We start from the raw sequence: 23,505 nt of genomic DNA, 5'->3' as shown, positions 1-23,505 counted from the left end.
TTTTTTTAAGAACCTCCATACTGTTTTCACAATGGCTATACTAATTTACATTCCCATCATCAGTGTGTAAGAGTTTCCCTTTCTTCATATCCTCATAATTTTTGTGTTTTATCTTTCTGATAATAGCTATTATAACTGGGGCAAGATGGTATCTCATTGTGGTTTTGATTTGCATTTTTCTGATGATTCATGATGCTGAACATTTTAAAATATATGTGTTGACCATTTGTATGTCTCTTTTTAATAAATATCTATTCAGATTTTTTGCCCATTTTTTATATTGGGTTATTTGTTTTTTGGCTCTTGAGTTTGTTGTATATTCTAGATATTACCCTCTCATTGAATGAATAGTTTGCAAATATTTTCACCCATTCTTCATGGTGTCTTTCTACTCTATTCATTGTTTCCTCTGCTGTATAGAAATATTTAGTTTGCTATAATCCCATTTGTCTATTTTTGCTTTTGTTGCCTGTGCTTTTGAGGTTTTCACTATACGATCTTTGCCAAGGTCAATATCCTGAGGCATTTCTTCCAAGTTTTCTCCTAGTAGTTTCAGAGTTTTGAGTCTCACATTTAAGTAATTAATCAATTTTGAGATGATTTTTATATGTGATGAAAGATAGATGTCCAATTTTTTTTACATATGGATATCTAATTTTCCCAGGACCATTTATTAAAGAGACTATCCTTTCCCCCAGTGAGTGTTCTTGGTGTCTTTATTGACCATTAGTTGGCTATAAAATCCTGAATGTATTTACATGTTGTTTATTCTGTTACATTAGTATATGTGTCTACTTTTATGCCAGTACCATGCCATTTTGGTTACTATAGCTTTGTAGTATATTTTGATGCCACATCCTGTGATGCCTCTAGCTTTGTGCTTTTTGTTTAGAACTTCTTTCACTATTTAGGGTCTTTTGTGGTTTCATATGGTTTTTTGGATTGTTTTTTTCTATTCTGTGAAAAAAACATTAAAATTTTAATAGGCATTTCATTAAATCTGTATAGTGCCTTGGACAGTATGGCCATTTTAACAAGACTAATTCTTACAATCACTGAACATGGGATATCTTTCCATTTATTTGTGTCCTTTTCAATTTTTTTCATCAATGTTTTATGGTTTTTCTTGTAGAAATTTTTCACCTCCATGGTTAAATTTATTTGTAGGTTTTTTGGTAGTTATTATAAATAAAATTACTTTGTTTACCTCTTTTTCAGCTAGTCTGTTGTGAATGTGTAGAAAACACTGATTGTTATATGTTGATTTTCTTATCTAGCAACTTCATCAAATTCATTTATCATTTCCAGGTTTTTTATGGTGGAGTCTTTAGGTATAGGATTATGTGGCTGCAAACAGGGACATCCTTCTTTCCAATTTAGATGCCCTTTATTTCTTTCTCTTGCCTAACAGCTCTGGCTAGAACTTCCAGTAATATGTTTAATAGGAGTGGTTAAATGGGTATCCTTCACTTCTTTCAGTTCTTAGAGGAAAAGCTTTTAGCCTTTCTCCATCCAGTATGATGTCAGCTGTGGGTTTGTTATATATGGCTTTTATTGTGTTGGGATACATTTCTTCATGCTTAATTTGAAGATAGTTTTATCATGAAGGGAAGTTAAATTTTATCAATGCTTTTTCTACATCTGTTCCAATTATCACATGGTTTTTGCTCTTTATTCTGTTGATGTGATATAGCATGTTTATTGATTTGCGTATATTGAACTATCCTTGCACCCCTGGAATAAATTCCACTTGATCATGGTGTATAATCTTTTTGATTTGCCGTTGGATTTTGTTTTCTAGCATTTTGTGGAGAATTTTTGCATCTGTGTTCATCAGGGATATTGGTCTGTAGTTTTCTTTTTTGTTGTGTCGTTGCCTGGTTTTGATAAGAGGGTAATACAGCCTCATTGAATGAGTTTGGAAGATTTTCCTCTACTTTAATTTTTTGAAATAGTTTGAGAAGAATTAGTATTAGTTCTTCTTCATTTTTTAATTTCAACTTTCATTTTAGATACAGGGGGTACACATGCAAATTTCTTACATGGGTATATTTCATGATGCTGAGGTCTGGAGTGTGGATCCCTGTCACCCAGGTAGTGAACATAGTACCCAATAAGTAGTTTTTTAACCTGTCCCCCATCCTCTAGTAGTCCACAATGTCTATTGTTTTTATATTTATGTCCATATGTTATCAATGCTTAGCTCCCCCTTATAAGTGAGAACATGTGGTATTTGGTTTTCTGTTCCTGCATTAATTTGTTTCAGATTATGTCCTCCAGCTCCATCCATGTCGTTGCAAAGGACATGATTTTATTCTTTTTGATGGCTGTGTAGCATTCCACAGTGTATATTTACCACATTTTCTTTATTCAGTCTACTATTGATTGTCATCTGGGTTGATTCCATGTCTTTGCTATTGTAAATAGCATAGCAATGAGCATATTTGCAGTGAAGACATCTAGTCCTGGGCTTTCCTTTGGAGACTTTCTTTTCTCTAGAAAACTTTAATTACAGATTTAATCTTTTTACTCACTATTGGTCCGTCCAGTTTTCCTATTTCTTGGTGGTTCAATCTTGGCAGATTGTGTGTGTCCAGGAATTGATCCACTTATTCTACATTTTCCAATTTCTTGGCCTATAGTTGTTCATAATACCTCTAGTAGTTCTCTGTATTTCTGGGGTATATGTTGTAATGTCTCCTTTTAGTTTCTAATTTTATTTACTTGGGTCTTCTCTCTCTTTTTTTTCTTGGTTAGTCTAGCTAAAGGTTTGTCAATTTTGCTCAAATTTTTAAAGCCAACATTTTGTTTTGTTGATCTTTTTAATTATTTTTTGGTCTCAATTGTATTTCTGCTCAGATATTTGTGATCTCTTTTCTTCTGCTAATCCGGCATTTAATTTGTTCTTACTCTTCTATTCCCTTAAGGTATATTGTTAGATTGTTTATATGAAAAAATTCTACTTTTTAAATGTAGGTGTTTATTGTTATTGTTATAAATTTTCCTGTTAATATTGATTCTTCTGTATCCCATAATTTTGCTATGTTTTTAAAGAAATATTAAATTTTTCTTCTTATTTATTGACCCATGGTCATTCAGGAGCACATTGTTTAATTTACATGCATTTGTACATTTTCTGAAAGTTCCTAGTATTATTGATTTCTAGTTTTATTCTATTGTGGAGAGAAAAGATATTTGCTATAATTTTAATTTTAAAATATTTGTTTAAGCTTGTTGTGTGGCCTAACATATGACCAATCCTGGAGAATGTTCCATGAGCTGATAAATGTTTATTCTTCAGCCACTGGATGAAGTGTTTGTCTGATAAGTCTACTTGGTCTATAGTGCAGTTTAAATCTTATATTTATTTGTTGATTTTCTTCCTATATGATCTGTCCTATGCCTAGAGTGGGTGTTGAAATCCCCAAATATTATTGTATTGGAGTCTATCTCTCCCTTTAAACCTAATAATATTTGCTTTATACATCTGGTGCTCTGGTGTTGAGTGCATATACATTTATAATTTAAATCATTTTGTTGAATTTATCTTTTTATGCTTATATAATGATCTTATTTGTCTCTTTTTATATTTTTTGACTTAACATCTGTTTCATTAAATATAATTATAGCTACTCCTACTTACTTTTGGCTTTCATTTGCATAAAAAAACTTTTCCCGTTCCTTCACTCTCAATCTTTTTGTGTCTTTAGTGAAGAAGTGGGGTTTTTTTAGACAGTATATAGTTGGTATTTTTTAAATTCATTAATCCAGTCTATGTATTTAATTGGGATATTCAATTTATTTATGTTTAAAGTTAGTATTGACAGGTGAGAATTTATGTCTGTCATTTTGTTGTTTTCTGGTTGTTTTATATATCCTTTATTCCTTTCTTCTTCTCTTATGGTTTATGTTCATGATTTGGTGGCATTCTATAGTGATAAGTTTTTATTTCTTTCTCTTTCTCCTTTATGTATCGGCTCTACCAGTGAGTTTTATAGTGGTGTATGTGTTTTTGTGATGGTAGTTATCATCCTTTGGCTTCCAAGTGTAGGACTTTCTTAATTTCTAAGACCAGTGTAGTGGCAATGAATTCTCTCAAATTTTGTTTGCCTGAGACTTTATTTCTCCTTCATTTCTGAAGGATAACTTTGCTAGGTACAATATTTTTGGTTGACAGTTTTTTTTGTTGTTGCTTCAGCACTTTGAAAATATCATTCCATTCTCTCCTAGACTATAAGGTTTCTGCCAAGAAATCTGTCCTTAGTCTAGTGGAGACTTACATGTGACTTGGCAATTTTCCCTTTCTGTTTTTAGAATTCTCTTTCTTTGACTTTTGATGATTTGGCTATAATATCTCTTGGACAAGACCTTTTTTGGTTGTGTCTATATGGAGTCGTGGAGCTTCCTGGATCCAGAAGTCCATATCTCTCCCAAGATTTGGGAAATTTTCAGCTATTATTTTTTAAAATAAATGTTCTGCAGCTCTTCCTATCTCTTATCTTTCTGCAGTTACCATAAAGCAAATATATATTCACTATATGATGTCCCATTATTCTTGTAGGTGCTCTTCATTCTTTTTAAATTTTTTTCTAGCTGGGTTATTTGAAAAGTCCTGTCCACATGTTCAGAAATTACTTCTTCTGCTTTATATAGTCTGTTCTTGAAGCTCTTAATTGTATTTTTATTATATTCACTGATTTTTTCAGCTCCTAGATTTTGTCTACTTGTTTCTTATCATATCTAGCTCTTTGTTCAATTTCTAATTTAGATTATGGATTAATTTTCTGATTTCGTTGAGTTTTCTAGCTGTAATCTCTAATATCTCACCAAGTTTCCTTAAGATCATTGTACTTATTTTTTTTGGCATTTTGTAAATTTTCTTTTATTTGGGATCTATTACCAAATAATTATTGTGCTTCTTTGCAGGTGTCATATTCCTTTGTTTTAAAATGTTTCTTTTGTTTCTACTTGGATATTTGTACATCTCGCATAATAGTCACCTCTTTCACTTTTATGGAGTACCTTTCATAGGGAAATAGTCCTGCAGATCAGTCCTAGGATGTCAATTGGGTAAAGTGCATTGGTTTGGTTCTGGGCGGACACAGTAGTATAGTCTCCATGCAGTTCATTCAGCTGTAATTTGCATTAACAATATTTGTTACTGTCTCAGTGGCCTAAGCTGCAGAAGTTTGAGGCAGTGGTGGCATGGCTTTGCCAAGGGTGGGTTTGCTGAGCTTGTTTTGTGTTCAGGGACATGTGCATGCACATGGAGGGCCAGCCAGGTCAGGGACTGACTTTCCAGGGACATATGGCCACTGGCTCTTTCTTTGGCCAAAGATATAAGTGTACAGTTTTTCAACTGACTCAGGGACTAATCAACCATGGAAAGTTCACTAAATTCTTTCTCCAGCCAGGGACACTGGGGGGATCTTGGTGGGGACAGATTCACTAGGCTGTTTGGTGTGGTCAGCCTGGGGTTGGCTTCTTTACTGTACAGGATGGGTGTCACACCTATTCTTGGATTCAGGTTCTGAGTATCTAGGATCATAGCTTTGCGGCCCCTAGTATGGTCTTGGTGGAATGAGAGTGGAGACCCTATTGCTTCTCAGCTTTTTGGCTAAGATCAAGCGGAGAATGGAGCCCCAAGGCTGGAGAGGTACAGTGCTACTGAACCCCTGAGCAAGGCTCACTACAGCAGTGACTCTGGTTGAAAAATTGTGCCATGCCACAGCAGAGTAGGTCACAAGTGAATATGGGGAGTGAAGAGTGGATGATGTTTGCTCATATTGTGAAGTAATGGAGCCATGTACATGCCAAGCAGCTACCCAAACTGAGCTTAGAGCTCGTGAGGACTGTGGGATTCTTCTGTAGTATAAACTACAGCCATCTGCACTGGCAATGGAAACTGTTGGGGTCTTTCTGCTTATCTCTCCCCTGCAATGGGAAGTCCTTTTTGCCCTTGAGCTGATCCTGATGGGGTAGCAGAGACAAAGTCCTTCACTCACTTCTCTATGTTGCTATCCTGGGCTTCTCCTCTCACCAGGAATGTTGCCAGTCCCTTGCTGTACTTCATACTACCCTCAGATGCTGTAATCAAATTTTAGTTATTTATTTATTGTATTGTTCCTTTTTTGTAGGGGAGCAAAAACCAGAAGACACCCTTAGTCAGTCATCATGCTGACATACCAATTTATTTTTTGTTTTATTTCTTGTGTTTTTGATGTCATACATAAGAAACCATTGCCAAATCCAAAGTCTAGAGTATTTACCTTATTTTCTAGTGGTTTTATGTTTTCAGCTCTCATATCTAGGTCACTGATTGTTTTGAATTGGTTTTGTATTTGGTGTGAGGTAGGGGTACCACTTTATTTGTTTATCATAAATATTTAAATGTATATGATATATGTAAATATATCATATATTTAAATCACAACATAATTTTTGTAAAATGATTGCTACTGTCAAACAAATGAACATATCTATCATCTCATATAGTTACCTTTCTGTCTTTTTGGTCTTTCCTTCTTTCCTTTCATCCTTTCTTTTTCCTTTTTTCTTTTTTTTTCAGTGTTTTCTTTTATTATTATATGTTAAGTTCTGGGGTACATGTGCAGAACATACAGGTTTGTTACATAGGTATACATGTTCCATGGTGGTTTGCTGCACCCATCAACCCATCATCTACATTAGGTATTTCTCCTAATGCTATCCCTCCCCTAGTCCCCTGCCTCCATCAGGCCCCAGTGTGTGATGTTCCCCTCCCAGTGTCCATGTGTTCTCATTGTTCAACTCCCACCTATTAGTGAGAACATGCAGTGTTTGGTTTTCTGTTCTTGTGTTAGTTTGCTGAGAATGATGGTTTCCAGCTTCATCTATGTCTCTGCAAAGGACATGAGCTCATCCTTTTTTATGGCTGCATAGTACTCCATGGTATATATGTGCCACATTTTCTTTATCCAGACTATCACTGATAGGCATTTGGGTTGGTTCCAAGACTTTGCTATTGTGAACAGTGCCGCAATAAACATACATGTGCATGTGTCTTTATAATAGAATGATTTATAATCCTTTGGGTATATTGTTGGGCCAAATGGTATTTCTGGTTATCAATCCTTGAAGAATTGCCACAGTGTTTTTAAGGAGGGGTAGACTGTTGGAATATCCTAATTTGCAATTTTTTCTGCCTCTCTTCTTGTAAATACGTTGGTTATGACATTTAGGGCCCACCAAATAATCAAGATAAATCCCCCATCTCAATGCCTTTAATGTAATCACAACTGCAAAGCCATTGTCATATATGGTCCTATTTATAAGTTCCAAGGATTTGGACCTGACATGTTTAGGGACCATTATCCATCCCCTACAGATTTGTTTATTACTTATGCTACTAATAATTTCTGTCTATCACACAAGTTGCCTGGTCAAATAGAAGGCTATGTCTTTGAGGTCACTCAAAACACAATCTGATGACAGCCTTACCATCTTTAGTGCACCTGCTGGAACACGAAGCCGCTTCAATCACCGTGGCAGGAGAGAAACAACTGGACAGTCACATATGTGCTTCAGTCCACCCAGAAATGACACATATTTAGTCTTTTGCAGTCAATTGCCTGCAACTAATACGTATCTTGGTCTAGCTGTAATAGGGCAGGCATATGTAAGAGAGTAGATAGAATGTTTGAAGACCACTATTTTTGTGATCCATGCTGTATCAATATTTATAAATAATAAAATATTAATATTAGTAATCTACCGAACATTTGATATGTGCTAGAAATTGTTCTTTGCTTTGCAATATGTGATATGATAATCTTGGCAATTTCAAAAGGATGAGATGACATTATCTCCTTTCTTACAGAAGAGAAATTAAAGTTAGTGACATTAAATTGCTTACTCAATTTGAAGCAAAACCACCTTAGTACACAGAACACACTTGTAATCACTATACTAGTCTGTGATAAGAAAAGTATTATAAGTCTGCTATGGAATGAGGACTCAGTATAGTCTGAGTAGAGGGAAGAATGGATCTATTTTCTATTTTTTTTTCCAGAGTCTTTTTTCTTTTATTTTTAAAATCTTACTGGTCTTCAGGTGCTCACAATTAGATTAATAATAATCTTTTTTTATTATTATACTTTAAGTTTTAGGGTACATGTGCACAATGTGCACGTTAGTTACATATGTATACATGTGCCATGCTGCTGCGCTGCACCCACTAACTCGTCATCTAGCATTAGGTATATGTCCCAACACTATCCCTCCCCCCTCCCCCCACCCCACAACAGGCCACAGAGTGTGATGTTCCCCTTCCTGTGTCCATGTGTTCTCATTGTTCAATTCCCACCTATGAGTGAGAATATGTGGTGTTTGGTTTTTTGTCCTTGCGATAGTTTACTGAGAATGATGATTTCCAATTTCATCTATGTCCCTACAAAGGACGTGAACTCATCATTTTTTGTGGCTGCATAGTATTCCATGGTGTATATGTGCCACATTTTCTTAATCCAGTCTATCATTGTTGGACATTTGGGTTGGTTCCAAGTCTTTGCTATTGTGAATAGTGCCGCAATAAACACACGTGTACATGTGTCTTTATAGCAGCATGATTTATAGTCCTTTCGGTATATACCCAGTAATGGGATAGCTGGGTCAAATGGTATTTCTAGTTCTAGATCCCTGAGGAATCGCCACACTGACTTCCACAATAGTTGAACTAGTTTACAGTCCCACCAACAGTGTAAAAGTGTTCCTACTTCTCCACATCCTCTCCAGCACCTGCTGTTTCCTGACTTTTTAATGATTGCCATTCTAACTGGTGTGAGATGGTATCTCATTGTGGTTTTGATTTGCATTTCTCTGATGGCCAGTGATGGTGAGCATTTTTTCATGTGTTTTTTGGCTGCATAAATGTCTTCTTTTGAGAAGTGTCTGTTCATGTCCTTTGCCCACTTTTTGATGGGGTTGTTTGTTTTTTTCTTGTAAATTTGTTTGAGTTCATTGTAGATTCTGGATATTAGCCCTTTGTCAGATGAGTAGGTTGCAAAAATTTTCTCCCATTCTGTAGGTTGCCTGTTCACTCTGATAGTAGTTTCTTTTGCTGTGCAGAAGCTCTTAGTTTAATTAGATCTCATTTGTCAATTTTGGCTTTTGTTGCCATTGCTTTTGGTGTTTTAGACATGAAGTCCTTGCCCATGTCTATGTCCTGAATGGTAAAGTCTAGGTTTTCTTCTAGGGTTTTTATGGTTTTAGGTCTAACGTTTAAGTCTTTAATCCATCTTGAATTGATTTTTGTATAAGGTGTATGGGAGGGATCCAGTTTCAGCTTTCTACATATGGCTAGCCAGTTTTCCCAGCACCATCTATTAAATAGGGAATCCTTTCCCCATTGCTTGTTTTTCTCAGGTTTGTCAAAGATCAGATAGTTGTAGATATGCAGCGTTGTTTCTGAGGGCTCTGTTCTGTTCCATTGATCTATATCTCTGTTTGGGTACCAGTATCATGCTGTTTTGGTTACTGTAGCCTTGTAGTATAGTTTGAAGTCAGGTAGTGTGATGCCTCCAGCTTTGTTCTTTTGGCTTAGGATTGACTTGGCAATGCAGGCTCTTTTTTGGTTCCATATGAACTTTAAAGTAGTTTTTTCCAATTCTGTGAAGAAAGTCCTTGGTAGCTTGATGGGGATGGCATTGAATCTGTAAATTACCTTGGGCAGTATGGCCATTTTCACGATATTGATTCTTCCTACCCATGAGCATGGAATGTTCTTCCATTTGTTTGTATCCTCTTTTATTTCCTTGAGCAGTGGTTTGTAGTTCTCCTTGAAGAGTTCCTTCACGTCCCTTGTAAGTTGGATTCCTAGATATTTTATTCTCTTTGAAGCAATTGTGAATGGGAGTTCACTCATGATTTGGCTCTCTGTTTGTCTGTTGTTGATGTATAAGAATGCTTGTGATTTTTGTACATTGATTTTGTATGCTGAGACTTTGCTGAAGTTGCTCATCAGCTTAAGGAGAATTTGGGCTGAGATGATGGGGTTTTCTAGATATACAATCATGTCACCTGCAAACAGGGACAATTTGACTTCCTCTTTTCCTAATTGAATACCCTTTATTTCCTTCTCCTGCCTAATTGCCCTGGCCAGAACTTCCAACACTATGTTGAATAGGAGTGGTGAGAGAGGGCATCCCTGTCTTGTGCCAGTTTTCAAAGGGAATGCTTCCAGTTTTTGCCCATTCAGTATGATATTGGCTGTGGGTTTGTCATAGATAGCTCTTATTATTTTGAAATACGTCCCATCAATACCTAATTTATTGCGAGTTTTTAGCATGAAGCGTTGTTGAATTTTGTCAAAGGCCTTTTCTGCATCTATTGAGATAATCATGTGGTTTTTGTCTTTGGTTCTGTTTATATGCTGGATTACATTTATTGATTTGCGTATATTGAACCAGCCTTGCATCCGGATCTATTTTCTTTAGGAGATAAAAGGATGTTCCCAGGCCATAAATGTGGCAATAAGGAAAATAGGTATGTTTTTCAAAAAAAATATTTTGCTTAGAAGACTCTTGAAACATCTTTGAGAAAGAACAAAAATGACAACTAAATTAAATTAAAATTGAATGTGAAAAATCCTTAAAATACCAAGTGATGGCAAAGATATGAAAAAAATGAAATGCCCTTGGGAATAAAAAATGATAAAGTCACCTCCATAAACAGTTTGAGAGCTTTCTATTCAATTAAGGATATTTACCATGTGAACAAACACCTTAACTTCCAGGTATTTATCAAAATGAAATAAAAACCGATGTCCACACAAAAATGTTAGCCAATACTTAGATCAGCTTGATTCATGGTCAGCAAGCACTAGAAATGACACAAATTGTCTTCAACTCAGAATTTTAAAAAAAACATGTAAAGTTCACGTTATGAAATACTATTTGGCAATTAAAAAAATTCACAACAGACTCACGTAACAAAGGGATGGATCTCAACTGAACTATGCTAAGTGGAAGATGACATAAAAAGACTACATATTCTAGGATTCTAGTAAAAGATATTCTTGCAAAGGCAAAATTTTATGGACAAAAGCAGTTTAGTGGTTGTCAGAAGCACTGACGGGAGAAGGCATTGATCGAAAATAAGCTTGGGAAATTAGGTGATTATGATAGTGGTTACATGACTATATATTTAACAAAAGTCTTAGAAATATACACTACAATGTGGGCATATTATGGTTTCCCACTTACATATTAATTTAAAAGAAACAAGAAATACAAAATAGTAAGTAATACAAAAACACATGTGCACACTCAAAATATCCAATTTGGTCCCCACAGGGAATTTTGTTGTTTCTTCTCTAGGAAAGTGAGAAGAGGAGCTGTAGATAGTCTCATGGGGGACATTCCTTGAGAGGACCATGTCTTTATAATTCACTTCTGGTTCCTATGCATTAGCTTCTGAAATCTATCATGACTCCAGGTGACTTTATTTTAGAGGGACATACTTTCATCCTCGTCCCTTTGATCATCATTTATTCATCTGAATGTTAACAGTTGTTCATACACATAGGCCTTCTCCTGATTTTAAGGTTTCCTATGAGCCTGAAGCCATAGCCAAGGGAGCACTCCGAGATAAAAATTATATCAAATGACTTGAAATGAGAATCCTTTAGTGAGTTATTATACAGGCATTCTCTTATTTGCTATTGACAAGCACAATTCTGTGAATTGTAGGAGAGAGGTAATTTTGTTATGTTTATTTTACAATTAAGGAGGAGATAAGTGTGTTATTGAAGGACAGAAAAAAATACATGATAGATTCACGATCTGAACATGAATTAGTGTTTTCCCCCCATCTTTCTCTGCCTTAGAGACCTTGAAACCATTGACCACTACCTGAGGAAGGGCTTCTCTAACAGAATTTGTGCATGAAAAGATTTCTGATATTGAACTCACTATTCAAGATTGACTTTCACTGTTTTTAAGGAGCAAGGTAAGCTTCTATTCAATATACACCTTTAGTGAAAACTGAATTTATACAATGGCAATAGGATAGCTGTACCTACTATGATGTTTCAAGCACAGAAATAAATGTTCTCAACATTTTTATAAAAAACTGAGGTGAAGCTGGGTTATCAACCTCAAATCTTTAATTAGTTGGAAGTTAGCTGATACTTATGAAATATCATTATGCTGCTCTCCTAAAAAATATAGAAAAAATAGTACAGGTGATATTCTGACTGATTTGGTGGTAATTTCATCTTGTACACTAATTTTATACACCGTATGTTAGCATCTTCTTGGAAGTAAGGAAAAAAAAACAGAAGAGTACAATGACCCTTGTTAAAATACTAAAGGTACTGACCAGGCATGGTGGCTCATGCCTGTAATCCCTGCACTTTGGGAGGCCGAGCCGGGAAGATTACTTGAGGTCAGGAGTTAAGACACCAGCCTGGACAACATGGTGAAACTCTGTCTCTACTAAAATACAAAAATTAGCCGGGTGTGGTGGTGCACGCCTGCACTCCCAGCTACTTGGGAGACTGAGGCACAAGAATCTCTTGAACCCAGGTGGTGGAGGTTGCAGTGAGCAGACATTGTGCCACTGCTCTCCAGTCTGGGTGACAGAGCAAGACTCTGTCTCAAAAAACAAAAAATACTGAAGTACCAAAGGGAAATAAGTTTCAAACTACTTTTTAACATTTTCCCCATAATTTTATTCTTATTACTTCTAGTACATCTATACACATTGACAATGGTATCGCTGAAAGCACTGGCTGCTGATTAGGTCCTAACTGGGTTTAAATTTTGAATCTTCCTCATACTAGCTGTGTAATTGTAAAGCATCCCAAAACTTCATAAATTCTCATTTGCATTAATGGTAAAATAAAAATAATACGACTACCTACCTTATACTGCACACACATGCATAACACAAATATACCCACTTATCATTGGTTGTAGAACATGGTATATGAGAAAAGTGGTCATGTGTGTTAAAGTAGATAAACAGAAAGCCTTCAAGGGGTTGGCTTGAGGAGTGAAGTTGCTAAAGGCGAAGGAGGAAGATGGAAGGGACTAGTAGTTAGCATTGAATGGATATCCTTCCAAAGACTTAATATTAAAATTAAAATAATTAAAATGGTTCCTACGTAAGAACAGATTAAAACAAAATATTTTACTACATGGAGTTTGTCACAAAGACAGATCTGCAGGCTAAAGCAAGACAAAAACTATGAGCTTTCAATCCTTGATTTCTGTGATTCAAATATGGGATGCCACTACTGAGAGAAAGAATGAGTATAAGAAAAGGAGACTGAGTGCAGGCTAAACTATGGATTTCAAAAAAGATATTAAGCAAAAAAACAGCTACATGGGATGGCTAGCACAGCCAACTGTATGGATGCAACAACGAAGAATTATTGAAAGGTACAGAAAATCTCAGTGGCTCTACTGTGTGAGAATAAGCAAAATGATGAAGGAGGTTACAAGACTTCAAAACTCATCCACACCTAAAGATCTGAATGTTATCACTCACTTTTTCATTCTAATAATAATGTAGCTGGCACTCATAAAGTTGGCTAACCATACAACATTTATGCATTGTTTTATGCATTTCACATTTAAATCTCACATTAGTACCTTCAGGTAGATATAATTACTATCTTCATTTTGCAGATAGAGAAAATGAGGTTCAGAGGAGATAGGTAAGGATCAATGATTCCTAGGTAGCAAATGGTAGGGTTGAGCTGATATGCAGCTCTTACCAGAGGTCAAGCTCTATATCCATTTCTGTGTCTTCCCATCAGAATTACCTTTACTGATTATACATGCCCCTACTGTCCCAGTCATCACCATACAACTGCTGTGCAAATCTCTCTCGTTCACTGTGAAATCTCAAACACTGAGTTTGTACCAATGGAGGCGATAAGTAACTGTTTGATTGAGTTAAACAATTTGATGTAGAGACAATTATGAATGTTGTGCTTTCAAACCACTCTGCTTGCGTCCAAAGCTTGGCTTGCCATTAATTTTTATGTAAATGTGAATAAATTACTCAACCTCTTGTGCCTCTCACTCTAAAAGAAAGTAACAACTAATCAAACTTGTTGTTGAGAAGAATCAATGAATATACTTACAAAGTATCTAGAGCAATTCTGTCAGATGGGCAATATACAAGCAAAAGTTTTTACTAGAATAAAAAAACTGAATTGGTATATGTGTGTGTGTGTGTGTGTGTATACATATATACACACACCTGCCATATATATTATTCAGACATGTTGGAAATTTTATATAATTTTCCAAATATTGGTTTACAATGATAGGAAGGTGAAAACTGGTAAGAGATAATCCATGCAGATCTTTTCAATTCAGCAGTTTATAACTCTACAGCTATTTAAGGCATTATACTTTGTAATTAAGTTTATGTTTAGATATATAGAATCTTAAAATGTGTATTACTATAATAATGAAATAATGCACTAATATATAGATGTTTCCATTTCATTGCAATATCTATTCCACAACATGTATTAGCATTCTTTTCCTTTATTTCTCATTGCTGCAGGCATCCTCTGATTTTCTAATAACATTGATGAAGAACTGTACAGAAGTGACAGAGTTCATCCTCCTGGGACTAACCAATGCTCCAGAGCTACAAGTCCCCCTCCTTATCATGTTCACTCTCATATACCTTGTCAATGTGGTTGGAAACCTGGGGATGATTGTTTTAATTGTTTGGGACATTCATCTCCACACTCCCATGTATTTTTTCCTCAGTCACCTGTCTCTAGTGGACTTTTGTTACTCTTCAGCTGTCACTCCCACAGTCATAGCTGGGCTCGTTATAGGAGACAAGGTCATCTCTTACAATGCATGTGCTGCTCAAATGTTCTTTTTTGCAGCCTTTGCCACTGTGGAAAATTTCCTCTTGGCCTCAATGGCCTATGACCGCTATGATGCAGTGTGCAAACCCCTACATTACACCACCACCATGACAACAAGTGTGTGTGCATGTCTGGCTATAATCTGTTATGTCTGTGGTTTCTTGAATGCCTCCATACACATTGGGGAAACATTGTCTCTCTTTCTGTATGTCCAATGAAGTCCATTGCTTTTTCTGTGATGTTCCACCAGTCATGGCTCTGTCTTGCTGTGATAGACATGTGAATGAGCTAGTTCTCATTTATGTAGCCAGTTTCAATATCTTTTCTGCCATCCTAGTTATCTTGATCTCCTACCTATTCATATTTATCACCATCCTAAAGATGCACTCAGCTTCAGGATACCAGAAGGCTTTGTCCACCTGTGCCTCCCACCTCACTGCAGTCATCATCTTCTATGGGACTATTATCTTCATGTACTTACAGCCCAGCTCTGGTCACTCCATGGACACAGACAAACTGGCATCTGTGTTCTATACTATGATCATCCCCATGCTGAACCCCCTGGTCTATAGCCTGAGGAACAACGAAGTGAAGAGCGCATTCAAGAAAGTTATTGAGAAGGCAAAATTGTCTCTATTATTGTGAGTTTAACATTGCAGGATGCATGATACCTAGTTTCATTCCTCTGTTCTGAATTGCATTTTAAGGCCCACATGGAAGTTTCTGAAATAATACCATTACTTCTTCAGAAGTTTGTTCTCTAGGAAAAAAGAAATATTATGTCCAAAAACATAATACCTAAAAGAGAAAGCTAAGGTGAATAGTAAGATATCTTGGGTTTTGCTTGTCAAAAACTTTATAGAACATATTTGATTCATTCACTAATTCTTCATACATGTCCACCACCAAATATTAGGAAAAGCACACATGTAAAACAGGTGCATAAATGGGTCCATGAACATATTTATTCATGTGGGCACATATACACAGGAGTGGGAAATTTGCCAGATTTAAATCGAATATGGCTAACTTTTACAAAAATAATTTAAGTAATTAATTATTTGAATTTCAGTTTATGTATAATATTATTTATTTAGTTGAATAAATGTTTTAGAGTCCTAATTTGAGAATAAATGTGATTTACTTTTAAATAAAAGTACAATCGTCTCTCTGTGTCTCTGCTATGCATCTGCAGATTTAACCAACCATGGATAGATAAATATTTGTAAAAATAATAACAATACAACAATAAAAAGTAATACAAATTTAAAAATTCAGTATAATAACTCTTTACATAGCATTTACATTGTGTTAGGTATTACAAGTTATCTAGAGATGATTTAAAGTATATGTGAGGATTTGCATGGGTTATATGCAAATATGATTATATACGATGCATCAATATCTAGATTCAATAATCTGTTCCATTGATTTGTGTGTCTTTTTCCCAATGCCACACTTATGTGGATTATTATAAGTTATAGAAGGTCATGAAATCAGGTAATGTGCATGCTTCAACTTTATTATCTTTATTAGCTTTGCCATTCCATATAATTTATAATCAGTGTATTCATATTTATTTTTTTAAAAAGGCTGCTTGGATTTAAATTGTGATTGCAAGGAATCTTCAGAGCAGTCAACATAAAGTCTCTCAATTCATGAATATAATATTTCTATACACTAATTTCAATTATTAAAACTTCATTCATCAGGATTCTATATTTTTCTGCACTTTTAAGACATGTATCCTAAATACGCTCAAAGAGCTAAATGAAATCTTGAACAAGAAACTAAAGGAAGCTAGGAAAAAGATATTTCAAGAAATAGTGAACTATTAATAAAGAAACAGAAATTATAGAAAGTAATTAGAAATTCTGGAACAGAAACCAAAAATAGATAAGATAGACTATGGAAAATAGTTTAGTGTTTTTTTGTTTGTTTTTGTTAGTTTGTTTGTTTGTTTTTTATACATAACTGCCATAAGATCCAGCAAATGAACTCCTGGGCATTTTCCCAGAAACATGATTATTTATGTTCACAAAAATAACTGTGTGTAAATGTTTATAGCACCTTTATTTATAGTAGTCAAAAATTAGAAACCATGCTGGAAACCATTCAGATATCCTTCCTTGGGTGAAAGGTTAACAACTTGTAGTACATCCATCACATTGAATACTACTCTCAATAAAAAGGAATAAACTGTTGATACATTCAAAAACCTGGATGAATATTGGGAAGAATATGCTGAGTAAAAACAGCCAGTCTCAAACGGTCACAAAAAATCCAAGGCATAATTCCACATACATAGAACATTTGTGAAATGACAAAATTATAAAATGGAGGACAGATTTTTTTCCAGTATTTAAGAAGGAATGGGGTCATGGCTATAAAAGGTCAGCATGAGGGATCCTTGTGGTGATGGAAATGTTATATATCTTGAATATATTAACTCGTCATTTACATTAGGTATATCTCCTAATGCTATCCCTACCCCCACCCCCACAACAGGCCCCTATGCAGCCAAAAGACACATCAAAAAATGCTCATCATCACTGGCCATCAGAGAAATGCAAATCAAAACCACAATGAGATACCATCTCACACAAGTTAGAATGGCGATCATTTAAAAAGTCAGGAAACAACAGGTGCTGGAGAGGATGTGGAGAAATAGGAACACTTTTACACAGTTGGTGGGACTGTAAACTAGTTCAACTATTGTGGAAGTCAGTGTGGTGATTTCTCAGGGATCTAGAACTAGAAATAGCATTTGACCCAGCCATCCCATTACTGGGTATATATGCACAGGAGAATAAATCATGCTGCTATAAAGACACATGCACACGTATGTTTATTGCGGCACTATTCACAATAGCAAAGACTTGGAACCAACCCAAATGTCCATCAATGATAGACTGGATTAAGAAAATGTGGCACATATACACCATGGAATAATTTAGTATTCCATAAAATGCAGCCATAAAAAATGATGAGTTCATGTCCTTTGCAGGGACATGGATGAAGCTGGAAACCATCATTCTCAGCAAACTATCACAAGGACAAAAATCCAAACACTGCATGTTCTCACTCATAGGTGGGAATTGAACAATGAGAACACTTGGACACAGGAAGGGGAATAAAGGGTTTCTTTAGTGAGTAGGTTATGCCTGAAGAAAACTGGGCCTTAGTCTATCAGGAACCACTGGAAAACTATCAAATATGTCTCAAAGTTATACCACCTGAAAAAGTAGGAATTGGGTTCTTATCACTCTACTTCTATCTATCATGTACTGATTGCTGATACCACAGAAATTAAAATGTTCCACACCACAGAAATTAAAATGTTCCACACATGGGCTGAACCTACTTTTACAGCAAATTCTAAGCCCTAAGTCTGCAAAACGCAAATTTCACATTCTTTATTTCACAATAAGTATTGGCCTGCACATGGACAACACAAGTGAAGAGGGGATGGATAGAACACTAACGATATTTGCTAGGAAATAGTAATTTGAGATAGAAAAGAAGGCCATCCACCTATTTATCTGAATCAAATTTTTGAATTGAATATAAATATTAAGGAATATTCTAATCTTCATTTCTCTGACACCTATGTTATATTTATCAGTTGATTGTAAACACAAGAAAGTAAAACAGGGATTATGTTTATCAATCTACAAATTCAGTTGCTATCAGATATAACAAGTTATAAAATAGAAAGTAGAAAAATGAATAAAAAGAAAACAAAATAAATATTTGACATGTATTACACATCAATAATACAGTAAATATAAATAGATCAACACACTGCTCATGTATGTAATAACAACTTAATAAAATTGGGGGAGAAAAAAGGCATGACAGCAATTACCACAAATAAACATGTATGTGACTCAACACAAACTCTATCACTGGATGCTGTGTAATTGCCTCTTCCCTAGATAAGTGAGATAAAGGAAAGCTATTGCCCTCATAGGGACGCTGTTTCCCAGAGAGTTCCATACATGTACACTTTTCTCCTGGCTGCCAGTCAGTAAGATCTGAAATCATAGTATGGCTCCACATGACGTTATTTAAAATGGATAAGACTCTAACCAGAGCCACTTTAATCTTCATTCATCCAAATGAAAGCTAATACTTTTAGTGCACAATCTGGTCTTTCCTGAAACTGAGAATATTGCAGTGATTCTCCAACCAAAGGCAGAAAAAAACTTCCCAAGATAAAAATTGTATTGGTTCATGATGAAGGGATAACAACTTACTAAGGTCTGTATAGGTCCACTGTCATTTTCTCTGTATAGATACAATTGTGTGAAGTTGTGGGAGAAAACATTTTCTCATTTCTATTCCACAAATGAGGAAACTGAGCTCAGCAGAAAATAAATAAGTTTTTCAAGTTCACAGAAAAACCCATGGTACATGCAAAACCTGAACTCAGACTTTCACAACACAGAAAAATGATACAACATAGAAAAATGACATGTTTGAGTTAGCACTCCATGTTAATAATTCTTTCTCCACCTCTTTATGCCTCAAAAAACTTGAACATTTCTGAAAAGTACATGATAGAGAATTTCTCCAATGTTATTTAGGCATTCTCCCAAGAATGAATTTCTGATTTCAGACTCACAATTGAGAACTGCCTTTTTCTTCTTTTCAAAGAGCAAGGTAAGCCTCTATATTCAATATATACTTTTGGTGAAATATGTAATTGATGCAAAAGCAGTGTGGCAGCTACATCTTGTATGAGTTTTTGAGCTCAGATCTACTTGTTTGAACATTTTTTCTAAAACATGGAAGTGGGTCTAGCATTCATTGTTTAAAAAAAAAAAAGAAAACTTAACCAGCAGATACAGTGATATTTATGAAATGCCGTGCTGCTCTCCCTAAGATGGTAGTAAAACCCTAGGCTGGATGATGCTCTGATTGAGTAGGTGGTAAATGTATCTGGTTTATTATGTGTTGGTTTGTCGCTGAAGGAATAGCTCCCCCAAACAGGGTGCAACAACTCTTCAATAGACTTCAGAAAGATTATTATGACACTACCAAGATCCCTATTCCATTTTTACTATCATTTCCTCACAATCTCACTTTTTCATTACTTGCTAATCTAGAAAATCTGACATTGCAGTGATTAAAGGCACAGAAATTGGAATAGGTTAGACATGGGTTTGAATCTTGAATTTATCTTACTAAGTGTAGAATATGAGGAAGGTACAAAACTCCTCTAATCTCCCAATATTTAACAGCAAATGGGGTTATATATCTGTCTGTATAAATACTCTCTCTCTCTCTCTCTCCATGCTCTGATATCTATGTCTGTCAATCTATCATCTCTCTATCATTCATGAAACAAACTGGTTCATAAGTACAAAGGCTAAGCTGCTAGTAACTTTAGAAGATCTGATTTATAAAATCAATGTATTCCAGATATGTGAACTTGAGAATTTAATACTTTCTCTGCTCCTCTAGTGATTCATATATACAATTAGGAAGTTGGCTATGTGATCTGTGAAGATGTCTCAACCATTTCTGATTCTAGAGATAATTTACCTATGATATATAATATTCATACTCATTATGGCAGCCTTAATAATGTTCCCCAAAGGTGGTCATATCTTAACTTCTGAAACCCATAAACATGTGGCCTTATGTGATTTTTTTACAAACTTCACAGTGATTAAATTAACATGTTGAGATGGTAGGATTATCCTAGATTATCCAGGTAGGTACAGTGAGAACCTTTCAGTTGTCATAGAACATAGTAAATTTTTAAAGAAAAACAATAAAAATTGTAGCTTATATTATTATGTGGGTAGTTTTTTGGCAAACAAATAATTTGAATTCTAGAAGTGTCAACTGATGTGTACTGGGGGCAGGAGAAAAATGATAGACAATCAATAGTGGTTATGAGGAAATGAATGTCCTTCTGACAGATTCAAATTCAAATAAAAAGATTGTGCATAAACACATCTGCAGCCTACAGTCAGCCCCCAAGACTACGAACCTCCAACCCTCAATATCTGATATCCTGCTAAGTGTTGAGAGTAATGACAGGAAGAATGTGTCTAAGATAAAAGGGGATTGTTTCAACACAAGGTAAAATGTAGTTTGAAAGGGAGAAATTAAACACAACAGGACTTGAAGATCCCTGGGTTCTCATGCTAGATGGCTGACACAGTCATTCACCTGGCAAAGAATGGATAGAGTGAGAAATGCTGAAGGAAACAAAAGACTGGACATAGTGTGTAAGAAAATACAGATCAGACAGAGTAAAACTGCCAACTTGAAAACCCACCCACACCTTCAGCCCTGTGTGTCACCTCTATGTGTTCTACACCAACATATGCACCACCATTCCATCCTAATAATAATATTATAGCTAGCACTCATCAGGACTGTGCTGAGTGCCCACATTTTGCCAACAGCTGAGCATTATCTCATTTAACTCTCAAAATAATCTCTTGACATAAGTCCTAATATCATCTTCATTTGACTAATGGATAAAATGAGATTCAAGGAAGTTAGATTAAGACCAGTGTCTCCCAAGTAGTAAATGTTAGGGCTTATGAGTTAATACAAATCTACCTCTTCTTAGAGTCCTAGATTTTATACCCAATGCTATATCTTCTCTGCAGAATTGGCTTTGTTGGTTGCACATGACATTAATGCTGCATTTATTCCACTTCATCTAGTATGCATTTATTTGTGCATTGCTCTACTATGCAACTTCATATGTTATGCTTGGTATAATAGATAGAATGAGTACATATAAATAGATTAACATTTAAAATAATTCAAATTCATTAAAAGAATTTTAATTCTTTTAATTTAGGTTGGGAACCACCCTGATTGTGTCTAAAGCTTGGTTCTATCTACTGGTGCTTGTGTAATCTTGAATAAATTATTCAAACTCTTTTTTTCTACCAAGATACTTCATGTATAAATTGGCAATAATAACTAATTAAATAATAGGATTAATGAGAGAATTCTATGAGGATGTACATATAAAGCATCTGGCATGAGACAACTATAAGTGTGTTTAAGATGTTAGATTCAAAAAACATATTATTTGGGAGATAGATTCACTTCAGGCATGTGACATTGGACAACTCATTATTCCCTTCCTATGACTCCATTTACTCAGACACAAAATTAAGAAGCTGGAAAGATGATCCACGAAGACCCTTTTTCTTCAAAAGTCTATTACTGTATAGATAAGTTATCCACTAAATTGTGTTTTCATATCCATAATTTTGATCTAGGAAATATAGAAAACAAATCATTGCTATAATAAAATAACACATACATTTCAGTTTTGTGCAACTCTGTTTTGTTCATCACAGGGTTTTTCTTTTTTATCTCTCCTTGCTACAGAGTATCTTGTGATTCTAAAATAACATCCATGGAGAATAATACAGAGGTGAGTGAATTCATCCTGCTTGGTCTAACCAATGCCCCAGAACTACAGGTTCCCCTCTTTATCATGTTTACCCTCATCTACCTCATCACTCTGACTGGGAACCTGGGGATGATCATATTAATCCTGCTGGACTCTCATCTCCACACTCCCATGTACTTTTTTCTCAGTAACCTGTCTCTTGCAGGCATTGGTTACTCCTCAGCTGTCACTCCAAAGGTTTTAACTGGGTTGCTTATAGAAGACAAAGCCATCTCCTACAGTGCCTGTGCTGCTCAGATGTTCTTTTGTGCAGTCTTTGCCACTGTGGAAAATTACCTCTTGTCCTCAATGGCCTATGACCGCTACGCAGCAGTGTGTAACCCCCTACATTATACCACCACCATGACAACACGTGTGTGTGCTTGTCTGGCTATAGGCTGTTATGTCATTGGTTTTCTGAATGCTTCTATCCAAATTGGAGATACATTTCGCCTCTCTTTCTGCATGTCCAATGTGATTCATCACTTTTTCTGTGACAAACCAGCAGTCATTACTCTGACCTGCTCTGAGAAACACATTAGTGAGTTGATTCTTGTTCTTATATCAAGTTTTAATGTCTTTTTTGCACTTCTTGTTACCTTGATTTCCTATCTGTTCATATTGATCACCATTCTTAAGAGGCACACAGGTAAGGGATACCAGAAGCCTTTATCTACCTGTGGTTCTCACCTCATTGCCATTTTCTTATTTTATATAACTGTCATCATCATGTACATACGACCAAGTTCCAGTCATTCCATGGACACAGACAAAATTGCATCTGTGTTCTACACTATGATCATCCCCATGCTCAGTCCTATAGTCTATACCCTGAGGAACAAAGACGTGAAGAATGCATTCATGAAGGTTGTTGAGAAGGCAAAATATTCTCTAGATTCAGTCTTTTAATGATGCAAAATCATCACAATGTTATTTTATCTCACTTAGATCTACTTTATACAATAACTCAAATGTTAAAATGCTATATGGTATATAGAATGTAAAATTTCATCTAATATTATTTTTGTCTTTAGTTGAGAAACAGTTCTAAGTATCCACGAGTTAGAAAAATACGATGACAATTTCTCATGGAGTTTAATGAAATATGTGTTGTCTCTTGTCATATTTTAGCCAACTATGAGTCATTACTGTTTCTTAATAAACTAATATTTCAGGCATTAATAAT

The 23,505-nt window shown here is 35.3% G+C and overlaps 1 protein-coding gene and 1 pseudogene across 1 annotated transcript; both read left to right on the top strand.

The window, feature by feature from the left end:
* Positions 14,785-15,432, top strand: OR5B1P (olfactory receptor family 5 subfamily B member 1 pseudogene; annotated as a pseudogene).
* OR5B17 (olfactory receptor family 5 subfamily B member 17) lies at positions 22,284-23,229 on the top strand. The gene has a single exon (NM_001005489.2). It carries the CDS (start codon positions 22,284-22,286, stop codon positions 23,226-23,228), a length of 945 nt encoding a protein of 314 aa, NP_001005489.1. The 3' UTR covers position 23,229.
* The last annotated feature ends 276 nt before the right edge of the window (positions 23,230-23,505 follow it).

This window comes from Homo sapiens, chromosome 11 (genome assembly GCF_000001405.40).
Source record: "Homo sapiens chromosome 11, GRCh38.p14 Primary Assembly".
In the NCBI taxonomy this organism is placed as follows: Eukaryota; Metazoa; Chordata; class Mammalia; order Primates; family Hominidae; genus Homo; species Homo sapiens.
Note: the sequence above shows the minus strand (reverse complement) of the source record. Positions and strands in the feature narration are given on the sequence as shown.

Excerpts from the sequence above, each read along its gene's own strand:
- OR5B17 (NM_001005489.2), top strand. The coding sequence starts at position 22,284 with ATGGAGAATAATACAGAGGTGAGTGAATTCATCCTGCTTGGTCTAACC.